General features: G+C 47.8%; 1 pseudogene, 2 gene segments (V, D, J or C) and 1 further gene; all 4 read left to right on the forward strand.

The window, feature by feature from the left end:
• BMS1P20 (BMS1 pseudogene 20) overlaps positions 1-11,898 on the forward strand; it is a 24,871-nt pseudogene extending 12,973 nt beyond the window's left edge. The window contains 3 exon segments of the transcript NR_027293.2: positions 7,829-8,181; positions 10,511-10,801; positions 11,593-11,898. The product of NR_027293.2 is annotated as a BMS1 pseudogene 20 (transcript).
• IGL (immunoglobulin lambda locus) overlaps positions 1-12,531 on the forward strand; it is an 896,838-nt gene that overhangs the window by 284,995 nt on the left and 599,312 nt on the right.
• Positions 7,596-8,156, forward strand: IGLV5-52 (immunoglobulin lambda variable 5-52). The segment is given in 2 exon segments: positions 7,596-7,635; positions 7,829-8,156. Coding segments are annotated over 2 exon segments (368 nt in total).
• On the forward strand, positions 11,438-11,899 carry IGLV1-51 (immunoglobulin lambda variable 1-51). The segment is given in 2 exon segments: positions 11,438-11,483; positions 11,593-11,899. Coding segments are annotated over 2 exon segments (353 nt in total).

A 12,531-nucleotide genomic window follows, 5' to 3' on the forward strand; every position in this document is an offset into this window, starting at 1 on the left:
GTTCCTTTGCTGTGCAGAGGCTTTTTAGTTTGATGCAGTCCTCCTTGTTTATGTTTACATTTGTAGCCTGGCTTGTGGTGCGATATCCAAAAAATTATTGCTAAGGCCAATGTCAAGAGGCTTTCCCCCTATGTTTTCTTCTAGGAGTTTTATGGTTTCAGGTCTTATTTGGGTCTTTGGTCTTGTATCTGTTTTGAGTTGATTTTTGTGTATGGTGTATGATCAGGGTCCAATTTTATTCTTTTGCATGTGAAAATCCTATTATTGAAGAGACTATCTTTTTTACCATTGTGTTGTCTTGTTTGCCCTTGTCAAAAATTAGTTGACAGTATATGTTTGGATTTATTTCAAAGGTCTCTGTTCTGTTCCATTGGTCTATTTTTTTGTTTTTATGCCAGCACCATACTGTTTTGATTACTATAGCTTTGTAATACAATTTTAAATCAAGAGGTGTGATGCCTCCAACTTTTTCTTTCACAGTAATCCGTTGGCTGTTTGGGATTTTTTGTGGTTCCATAAGAGTTTCAGGATTGTTTTTTCTTTTCTTTTTTTTTTTTTTGAGGCGAAGTCTCACTCTGTCGCCCAAGCTGGAGTGCAGTGGCATAATCTCGGCTCACGGAAACCTCTGCCTCCTGGATTCAAGCAATTCTTCTGCCTCAGCCTCCCAGGTAGCTGGGACTACAGGCACATGCCACTATGCCCGGCCAATTTTTGTAGTTTTAGTAGAGACAGGGTTTCACTCTGTTGGCCGGGCTGGTCTCCAACTCCTGACCTCGTGATCCGCCCGCTGCGGTCTCCCAAAGTGCTGGAATTACAGGCGTGAGCCACTGTGCCTGGCCAGGATTGTTTTATTCGGTTCTGTGAAGAATGCCATCAGAACTTTGATGAGGATTGTGTTAAATCTGTATATTTGCTTTGGGTAGCGTGAACATTTTAACAATATTAATTCTCCTGATCCATAAACACGGGATGTCTTTTCATTCGTTCATGTCTAAATTTCTTTCATCAATGTTTTATGGTTTTCAAGTGTACACATCTCTCACCTTCTTGGTTAAATTTATTCCTAAGTTTTTGTTTTTCTTTGATGCTATCGTAAATGAGATTATTTTCTTGATTGCTTCGTCAGCTACGTTATTTGTATATAGAAATGCAACTGATTTTTATATGTTGAGTTTATACCTTGCAGCTTAACTGAATTGATTTAGTAGTTCTCACAGTTTTTTGTGGAATCTTTGGAGTTTTTTTACGTAAAGGATCTTGTCATCTGCAAATAGAGATAATTTTACTTATTTAATTTAGTTGCCTTTTTTTCCTCATCTGATTGCTCTTGCAAGTATTCTATTGAATAAAAGTGATGAGGCTGGCCATCCCTATCTTGTACTCAATCTTAGTGGAAAAGCTTTAGTTGTTCCCCACTAACTATGATTAGACTGTGGGTTTTTCATAAATGGTCTTTATTGTGTTGAGGAACTTTCCTTCTATACATAAACTATTAAGAGTTTTATCAAGAAACGTTGCTGAACTTTGTTAAATGCTTTTACTGCATCAATTGAGGTGACCATATCGTTTTATCTTTCATTTTGTTAATGTGATATATCCCATTGATTGATTTACATATTTTAAATCAGCCTTGCATGCCAGGGATAAATCCCACTTAAACACGATGTATAATGTTTTTGATATGTTGTTGAATTCTATTTGCTAAAATTTTTTTAGGATGTTTGCATCAGTGTTTAATTTATTGGAGAAGTTGACCTGTAGTTTTTGTTTGTTTGGTGTGTGTGTGTGTGTGTGTGTGTGTGTGTGTGTGTGTGTGTGTGTTTTGGTTTGGCTTAGGTATTAAGGTGATACTGGCCTGGTAAAATGTGTTTGGAATTATTTCCTCTCGCTCTGTTTTTTCGAAGAGTTTAAGAAGTAAACTCCCAGGGGATGGGAGTGACTCTGGACATGGGAGTGACATGATAGTGACTCTGGACCCTGCAGTGGTGGGACACAGCAGCATCTCTGTCTCTGTGAGGCCAGGCGCAGCATCAGCAAGGACCCCAGAATGGTGGAGCACTACTGTGGCTTGGGCCCTCGGGGGCAGGGACCAGTGCAGCAACTACTTCTCTCCCTGGGGAGGCAGGTGCCTGGGCAACTCAGATTCTCCAGAGCTAGTCCAGTTCCAAGGAAGCAGGGTTCTACAGTTGTTTGTCCTGAAGGGCAAGGTACCCCAGTTCAGCCAATGCCGTTTTCCTGGGATATGGGGGTGCCATGTTGGCTCATCCCTGGCAGGTGTGGCTGCTCAGCTCAGCCAAGACACTGATTCCCTGTGAAGCAGGGCAGCGCTTCAGCTCTCATGCAGTGGGGGGTGTGACTGCTCAGACTGGCTAAGGCACTGATTCCCTGGAAAGCAGGGCACCAAGTCAGCTCAGGCTCCAAGGGGCAGGGCGCAATGGCAGCTGGGAGGGGAGGGGCACAGCAGCGTGGCCCTGCAGGTGGGGTGTATGCTGTGATGTGGACATCATTTGTTCCCACCAGCCATTTGAAATTTCATCCATTTGAAATTTGATTCCAAATGTGGTGGTGTGGGAGGTGGGGCCTAGTGGGAGGTATTTGGGTCACAGGGCAGATCCTTTATGAATAGATTAATGCCTTTTCATGGGACTGGATTAGTTACCAGGAGTGGATTGTTATCAGAGTGAGTTCAGCTTCCTAGACTCTCGTGTTTCCTCTCTTGCCATGTGAGCCCCTTGCATACACCTGTTTCCCCTTCCACTTTCCCTATGAGATGAAGCAGCACAAGACCCTCGCCAGTTGTGCTGCCCAATCTCGGACTTTTCAGACACAAGCAGGGTGAGCCAAATAAACCTTTTTTATAAAATAAGTTACCCCGAGTCTCAAGTATTCTGTTACAGCCACACTAAATGGCCTAAGACAGTGTAACAGCGGCTCGGGGGTGGTGGGCCACTAGGTGGGTGTGATATAGAGCAACAAAGCCTGAGGATGGAAGAAGGGTGCGGTGGCAGCTCACCCTGGGTGGGACATGCTCCCGAAGTGGTCCAGGTCCAGGAGGGCACGTTGCAGCAGCAGCTGGTCCATGGGGGTGGGGCACAATGTCAGTTCCTTCTCTGAGGGGAGTGCTGGGGCTACTGGGCCCCTCTTGCTTCCTTATCCCTGCAGGGAGACATCCCCTCTGCTTCAGGCTGATCCCTCTGGGGGAATGGGTGGTGGGGGCCAGATGTTTCCTTCCCTCCTTTATGTGACCGTCCTGGTTTTCTGTGCTCTGCTGGATTTCTGCTACTCCTTGATGCACTCTGGGGCTCTCTTTTAGTGACTTTCATCAAAATATAGATGTTTGCTGCTTTGGCTGTCTTTGTCAGGGGATGAGTGCAAGGGGCTATTGATCAGCCCCTTGCTGGCATCACTCCCTCTTAAACTTTTCACTGGGTACTCTTTTGAACTATTTTTTCCCCCACCGTATACATGTATTTTTTAAACGTTAATGTGCTAATTTCTACTGAAGCAATGTGGATTTTTCTGAAAGTTTTAATGTTTTAATAAGCTTTTTATTGAAATGTTAATGTCCACACAGAAGAGTGCCCGAATCATAAGTGTGCATCTAGATGAACTGTAGCACACCAGGCTGCCACGCCCTGGACCAAGCAGTAGCCTCGCCCTGTGGCCTCTCCCAGGCACTGCTGCCCCAACCCACAGAATAGCTACTTTCCCAGTTCCTGATGTAGATTTGTTCTGCCTGGTTTTGACTTCTATAAAATACAGCACATTCTGTTTAGCCTGGCTTCTTTGGTTCAGTATTACAGAACACATCCATGTTCTTGTCTATGGCAGACATTGATTTATCGTCATTGTTGAGTTCCATTATATGACTGTGTCACCATTTTTCCATTGATGAGTAAAATGATTTCCTATTTTTGGCTGTTATCCCACGGCCCTGAACACTAGGTCTGGATATGGGACTTGCAGGTATGCAGGGGCACACGCACTTCTGCTGGAGGATCCCTGGGTGGGGTGGAGACTCCAGGGCACCTGTGCTCTGCTTCAGTATGGAGTAGTTGGAGTGTATTGCTTAGAACAAAAGAGATGAGACACTAACACTGTGTGTATATTCTAAATCATATATCAGTGAAGAAATGTGATGTTTGCAACATCTTCTCTGGGGATGCTAACCCCCTAAGTCATTATTACCATGCATGTAAGCACCTCACCTAGATCTGCACTCCATCTAGCAGTGAGAAATTCCACCATAATCTACACACCATAATATCATCAATGTGTCTAGAAGTCAGATCCTCTATGTGTGAACCAAGACAATGCCTGGCAAACAAGACAGCTGGGCTCTCAGGTCTCTGCACCATGGGGAGGTGTGTAAGGCCATTCTTGAATTACTATAAAGAAATCTCTGAGACTGGATGATTTACAAAGAAATTTACAAAGAAATGTTGAATTGACTCACAGTTCTGTGGGCTGTACAGGAAGCTTGGTGCTGGCATCTGCTCCTTTTCTGGGATGCCTCAAGGAGTTTTTACTCACGGCAGAAGATGAAGTAGGAGCAGGCATCTCACATGGCAGAACAGGAGCAGGATAGAGAGTGGGTAGGAAAGGTGTCACAAATTTGAACAACCAAATCCCATGAAAACTCACTATCATAAGGTGAAAACCAACCCAAGAAGGATACTCTCTCATGACCCAAGTACCTCCCACAAGGTCCCACTTCCAACCTTGTGAATTACATTTCAACATGAGATTTAGTTTAGCATCCAAACTATACCATTATTCCCCTGGTCTCTAAAGTCTCATGTTCTTCTCACATGGCAAAATACAATAATGTCTTCCTAACAATCCCCAAAACTCTTAACTCATTCCAGCATCAACTCAGTCGAAGTCCACAGTTCAGAGTCTCATTTGAGTTAAGGCAAGTCCCTTTCACCTATAGGCCAGTAAAATAAAAAACAAGTTATTTACTTCCAAAATACACTGGTAGTACAGACATTGGGTAAATATTCCCATTCCAAGAGAGAAAAAACTGCCATAAAAAAAGGGCTACAGATGTCATGGAAGTTTGAAACCCCGCAGGGCATTCATTAAATGTTAAAGCTCCAAAATAATCTTTTTTTGACTCCGTCTCCCACATCCAGGGCACACTGATGTAAAGGGCAAGCTACCAAGGCTGAGGGCAGTTCTACCCATTTGGCTACGCAGGGTTCGGCCCCTGTGGCTACTCTCATAGGCTGTTAAGTGCCTGCAGCTTTTCCAGGTGTAGGATACAATCTGCCAGTAGATCTACCATTCTGGAATACAGAGGACAGTGACCTCCTTCCCACACCTCCACTAGGCAGTGCCCCAGTGGGGACTCGGTCTGGGGCCTCCAACCCCACATTTCCCCTCCACACTGACCTAGTAGAGGTTCTGTGGGAGGGTTCTGCCCCCACAACAGGCTTCTGCCTTAGCACCCAGGCTTTTCCATACATCCTCTGAAATCTAGGTGGAGGTTGTTGAGGCTCCAGCACTCTTGCATTCTGTACTCCTGCAGGTTTAACACCACATGGAAGCTTCCAAGGCTTAACATGGCTTTTGCTCCCCAAAACTGTGGCATAGCATTATCTGGAGCCTCTTGAGCCAAGGCTGGAGCTGAATCAGCCATGAGGTTGCACAGGACTGTGGGGCCCTAGGCCAGACCCAGCAAGCCATTCAGTTCACCTAGGCCTCAGGACCTGTAATGTGAGAGGCTGCCTCAGAGATATCTGAAATGCCTTTGAGGTCTTTTTCCCATTGTCTTGGCTATCAACACTTGGCTCCTCTTTAGTTACGCAAATACCTCTAGCAAGTGATTGTTTCGCAGCCCACTTGGATTCTTTTCAGGAAGAGGGGATGTTATTTTCTGCCACATAGTCAAGCTGAAAATTTTTCAATCTTCTATGCTCTGCTTTCCTTTTAAATATAAATTCCAAATTAAAGTCATTTCTTTGATCTCACATCTGAGTATAGGCTGTAGACACAGCCAGGCCACCTCTTGAACTCTTTCTGCCTAGAAATTTCTTCTGCCAGATACTCTAAATGATTGTTCTGAAGTTCCAACTTCCACAGATTCCTAGAACATGAATAGAATTCAGCCAAACTCTTTCCTAAGGCATAACATGGGAGATACTTGCCCCAGTTCCCAATAAGTTACTCACTTTCCGTCTGAGATGTTGACAGCCTATGCTTCATTGTTCCTAACACCATCAGCATTTTGATCACAACCATTTAACCAGTCTCTATAAAGTCTGAAGCATTTTCTAATCTTCCTGTTGTGAACCCCCAAAATTGGACACAAGTCTCAGTTAACTCAGAAAGCTTATTTTGCCAAGGTTGAGGAGGCACATCTGTGACACAGCCTCAGGAGATCCTGATGACATGTGTCCAAGATGGTAGGGGTACCGCTTGGTTTTATGCATTTTAGGCAGACATGAGACATCAATCAACATGTGTAAGATGTACATCAGTTCAGTCTGGAAAGGTGGAACAGCTCCAGGTGAAGGCAGGACAACTTGAAGTGGGGAAGGGGCTTCCAGTCTTAGATAGATAAGAGACACATGGTTGCATTCTTTTGAGCTTCTGATGAGCCTCTCCAAAAGGAGGCAATCAGATATGTGTTTCTCTCAGTGAGCAGAGGGGAGACTTTCAATAGACTGGGAGGCAGGTTTGCTCTAAGCAGTTCCCAGGTTGAGTGGGGTCCCAAGATTTGTTTTCCTTTCACACTGTCTTCTCCTGAGCCCCCCAAACCCTTCCAACCTCTGGCCATGACTGAGTTCCACAGCTGCTTTTGTACTATCAGGTATCTTTTAGCCATACTTTATTTACCAATTATCTGTGTTAGGACATTGTTGCATTGCTACAAAGAAATTTGTTGGGAAATTTACAAACAAAAGAGGTTGAATTGGCTTATGGTTCTGCAGGCTGTACAAGAGTCATGGTGCCTCCATTTGCTTGGCTTCTGAGGACACCTCAAGGGGATTTTACTTGGTGGAACATGAAGTGGGAGCAGACATCTCTCATGGCAGGGTGGGAGCAAGAAAGAGAGTAAGGCAGGAGGTTCCACACATCTAAACAATCAGATCTTGCAAGAACTCACTCACTGTCATGAGGACAGCACCAAGCCTCGCGGAATCCGCTTCAATGACCCAACCACCTCCCACCAGGTGCCACATGCAACATTGGGGATTACGTTTCAACAGGAGATTGAGAGAGGACACACATCCACACTATATCAGGAGGTGTGTGCCTTGCAACCATCAGGGGATGCTGCAGGACTGCCCTATGGTCCCTACACAGCTGCTTAGTAAGAACCATTCACTCCAAGGAACCTGTGCCCTGTGCTCAATGATGGGGACTCAGGAGCTGTGTCCTCTCTGGCCTGGCAGAGTCCCCTAAGCAGAGACCTGTGTATGGTCTCGGCAGGTGCTTCCTCCCAGGGCCCTCCCGAGGGGGAAACCAAACCTTCCTCCTCCTCAGTCTGGAGTGTGAGCTAAGCTTCAGCTCCAGGGCTCAGGGAGGGGCTGGGCAGTCCTTGGATGGAAACATATTTGCATGAGCAGCCCCTCCTCTGGCAGAGGATGGAGAAGAAGAGGAGACCTGGGGCAGCTCAGGCCCACTGTTAGGGCTCAGGGGCTGTGTCCACCATGGCCTGGACTCTTCTCCTTCTCGTGCTCCTCTCTCACTGCACAGGTAGGGAAAGTCCTTATAAACTGAGTCTCAGTGTCCAACCTACACCATCCCCTGTGGCTCAGACCTACAAGAAGCTTTACCCTGGGAACTGCCTTATCACCCATGATGTCTGTGTTTTCAGGTTCCCTCTCCCAGCCTGTGCTGACTCAGCCATCTTCCCATTCTGCATCTTCTGGAGCATCAGTCAGACTCACCTGCATGCTGAGCAGTGGCTTCAGTGTTGGGGACTTCTGGATAAGGTGGTACCAACAAAAGCCAGGGAACCCTCCCCGGTATCTCCTGTACTACCACTCAGACTCCAATAAGGGCCAAGGCTCTGGAGTTCCCAGCCGCTTCTCTGGATCCAACGATGCATCAGCCAATGCAGGGATTCTGCGTATCTCTGGGCTCCAGCCTGAGGATGAGGCTGACTATTACTGTGGTACATGGCACAGCAACTCTAAGACTCACACAGTGCTCCAGACCCATGAGGAAGTAAGACAAAACCCTCCCCTCTACTCTCCTGGTCTAGTGAAATCACCCCTGCTGGTGGCTCTGACCAAATCTAGCTCAGGGGGTGACATCTGTTGTCTCATCGACAGCACTGGAGCTCCCACGGAGAAGTAGGTCTAACAAAGTCCTACCTTGCTCGCATTTCACAGGCAGACATCCCTTGCTCAGGGGTAAAATCTCTCAGTGTTGACATTGAAGAAGGCAAGAGGGCTGGGTTGGGGTTCATCTCAGCTCAGAGTCTAGAAGTGACTCAGAGATGCTGCTGGTCTGAGAGTTTTAATATGAGCCTTGGGATACAATACAGGGATGCAGATGGGAATTGTATTCTCTTTGTCAGTAACGAACCATCAGTAATTGAAAAGTCAATACATTGAGAATAGCATAAAGCATGAAATACTTTAGGATAAGTATGACAAAAATTGTTGTTTTACACACTAGAAGTCCTAAAACATTGTTTAGACACAGGTCTTAAAGAAGACCTGAGTAAATGCACAGATAATCCTTTTTTTTTTTTTTTTTTTTTGAGGCAGAGTTTCACTCTTGTTGCCCAGGCTGGAGTGCAATGGCATGATCTTGGATCTCGGCTCACCACAACCTCCACCTCCTGGGTTCAAGCGATTCTCCTGCCTCAGCCTCCCGAGTAGCTGGGATTACAGGCATGTGCCACCACGCCTGGCTAATTTTTGTATTTTTAGTAGAGATGGGGTTTCTCCATGTTGGTCAGGCTGGTCTCGAACACCTGATCTCCGGTGATCTGCCCGCCTCGGCCTCCTGAAGTGCTGGGATTACTGGCGTGAGCCAATGCGCCCAGCCCAGATAACCCTTTTTTTTTTTTTTTTTTTTGAGCAGGAGTCTCGCTCTGTCGCCCAGGATGCAGTGCAGTGGCGCGATCTTGGCTCACTGCAACCTCTGCCTCCCGGTTGAAGTGATTCTCCTGCCTCAGCCTCCCTAGTAGCTGGGACTACAGGCATGTGCCACCATGCCCGGCTAATTTTTTTTTTTCCTTGTGGCAACGGGGTTTCACCGTGTTTGGTCTTGATCTCTTGACCTTGTGATCCGCCCACCTTGGCCTCTCAAACTGCTGGGATTACAGGCATGAGCCACCGTGCCTGGCCCCAGATAACCCTTTTTATGTGAGAGTGTAGAGAATGTTGCTGCAGCTGGTGTGGGATGGGGGATGGCTGGGTTGAGACTGTGTTGTCACCTGCAGTGTACACCTGAGGTGACATGGTTCTGAACATCACTTTCCCCATTGAAGGCCCGAGTGACCTATCACTTGCTTCTCAAAATTCAGGAACTAGGTGACTCTAGGAGAGTGCACAGGAAGCTTTCTGCATATTCTTTCAAGAGATTTCGAGGTCACTGACTCTTTTTTCAAGACTTAAACACAAAATCCACATCCATCATTCTTGCGTAAAGAGACCATTCTTTTTTTTTTGAGATGGAGTCTCGCTCTGTTGCCCAAGCTGGAGTGCAGTGGCATGATCTCGGCTCACTGCAAGCTCTGTCTTCTGGGTTCATGCCCTTCTCCTGCCTCAGCCTCCCAAGTAGCTGGGACTACAGGCACCCGCCGCCATGCCCGGCTAATTTTTTGTATTTTTTAGTGGAGATGGGGTTTCAACATGTTGGCCAGAATGGTCTTGATCTCTTGACCTCGTGATCCACCCGCCTTGGCCTCCCAAAGTGCTGGGATTACAGGTGTGAGCCACTGCACCCGGCCCAAGATGGGGTTTCATCATGTTGACCTGGCTGGTCTCAAACTCCCAACCTCAAGTGATCCACTCACTTCAGCCTCCCAAAGTGCTGGGATGACAGGCGTGAGCCACAGTGCCCGGCCTAGTACATTGTTTAAATGGTGCATGTAAAACCTCATGGTACTACAACTGCCTGGTGACAGACTCACCAGAGTAAATAACTATCCTGCTGTTCTCCAACCACATGGGATTCCCCAAACAAAGATTTGTTGAGTCCAAGATGCATCATGCCAGAACTCTTGCAGTCATACACATAATTTGTTTCATTTTAATAAATACGGTTATCTTTTTTCTTCAGTTTATTGTTTTTAATGTATCATCTTCTAGGTTTCATTACACATCAAAGATGAATAATTTCTCTCATCTTTAGGACATGCTGAAAACACTCATTAGTGATTTTGAACAGTATTATTTCCTAAACATCCTAGTTGGAATGGTTGATCCTAAAAGCTACCATGTGTCAGGCTCACCTGAGTGCAGACTGTGGTCTAAACAAGCTAAAGTTTTAATTCTTCCATCTTCAAATACGGAGCATATTTGCTTGTTTTGCTCTTTAGCAAAACACTGCAAAGTCATTCGCCAGGATCTCCTGCAGACTGGCATTCAGTGATGGAGAACAGACTCCTAGGTGAGATCCCTGGTCACAGGATCCAGATGACTATGACTGCAAGTCTGGAAAAGAAGAGACAGAACAAAGATTTACCAGCATAACCCTCTGAGAATGTGCCCCAGCCATCCTGGAGGGAAGAGCTCCCTATTGACCCAGCACTGCAGAATCCACAGAGGAAGGACAGCTCTGGCCACCAGGGAGCAGCCACACGACAAGAGAGGACCCGGTGTCCCCACAGGTGAGGAAATGAGTCCATGGGGCTGGTCAGTGCTCTCGATTTCATTCTGCCATAACAGGACTTTGTGTAGTCACCACCTGAGTCCTATACAGTGAACAGCCAAGGAGACATGGACAGATTCACCCCTGAGGAACCCAGTAGAATGTGAAGTCTGCCCTGAGGTCACGAAGAAAAGACTCAGGGGGCTGCCTGGCCTGGCCCTGATGGAGGGGGCCATGGACAGAACAACGGGGAGGCAGGGGTGTCTCTGAGAGGCTCTGGTCACCTTGTCATACAATGGTGGTGTACAATGTCGCACCATGGACACTAGGGGGCGCCTGCGCACCATTCCTGAGAAGACTGGGTGTGATGAGAGCAGGACCAGCGCCACCTGTCCTGCTTGGTGCCCTATGCTTAGGGCTCACAGATGTCAACTCTCCACCCCCTGGGACCACACAGCCCCACCCCTGGCACTCTCTGACATCCTCAGGCAGAGGAGCTTGACCCAGGGCCCAGGGTGGGATCAGAAAGCTGGAGGGTCTGATTTGCATGGATGGACCCTCCTTCTCTCAGAGTATAAAGAGGGGCAGGGAGAGACTTGGGGAAGCTCTGCTTCAGCTGTGAGCGCAGAAGGCAGGACTCGGGACAATCTTCATCATGACCTGCTCCCCTCTCCTCCTCACCCTTCTCATTCACTGCACAGGTGCCCAGACACAGGGTCAGGGGAGGGGTCCAGGAAGCCCATGAGGCCCTGCTTTCTCCTTCTCTCTCTAGACCAAGAATCACCGTGTCTGTGTCTCTCCTGCTTCCAGGGTCCTGGGCCCAGTCTGTGTTGACGCAGCCGCCCTCAGTGTCTGCGGCCCCAGGACAGAAGGTCACCATCTCCTGCTCTGGAAGCAGCTCCAACATTGGGAATAATTATGTATCCTGGTACCAGCAGCTCCCAGGAACAGCCCCCAAACTCCTCATTTATGACAATAATAAGCGACCCTCAGGGATTCCTGACCGATTCTCTGGCTCCAAGTCTGGCACGTCAGCCACCCTGGGCATCACCGGACTCCAGACTGGGGACGAGGCCGATTATTACTGCGGAACATGGGATAGCAGCCTGAGTGCTGGCACAGTGCTCCAGCCCAATGGGGAACTGAGACAAGAACCCCCTTCTTCCTCCCCCAGGAGGGTGAGTGCCGCCAGCTGCTGCTCACGCCTGACCTGTAGCTTCTGCTGCTGCAGGTTCTCCCATGGGCCACGGGGCAGCCAGGGCCCTGCCTAGGAGTGGAGGCTCCACCACTTTTGTCCTCAGAGTCAGGAACAGGGACTCCAGGAATGAGAATATCCTGCTCCTGCAGCTTGGGACACAGGGTCTCTGCACTGACATCCTGGGCTGAGGTGGCAGGTCCAGCTGTGTCTTCACAGTCCTTCCTGTGCCTGCCCATGGTGTGGGGAGGGAGGGAGTGGGGGAGGGGGTGTGGGCCTTTGAGCTTCACTAGAGACCTGAGGGAGCAGAGGTGCTCCCCAAGACCTGGACTCCTTCCCTCACCCTCCTCCCATCACTCTCCTCACTGTAGCTATGGCCAGGTGAGGGCTCAGGGCTACTTGAGGACCTTGCTCAGCCCAGGGCCTCCATCCCAGGCATTGTTTCCAAACTCTGTAAGGGCTGTCTCTGAATCTGTAGAAACAGTTATTTCTGTGTGCCCAGGACTGGGTTAGAGGGCACCAACCCCACCCCTTGCAAACTGCTCCTCACCTCT

This window comes from Homo sapiens, chromosome 22 (assembly GCF_000001405.40).
Source record: "Homo sapiens chromosome 22, GRCh38.p14 Primary Assembly".
In the NCBI taxonomy this organism is placed as follows: domain Eukaryota; kingdom Metazoa; phylum Chordata; class Mammalia; order Primates; family Hominidae; genus Homo; species Homo sapiens.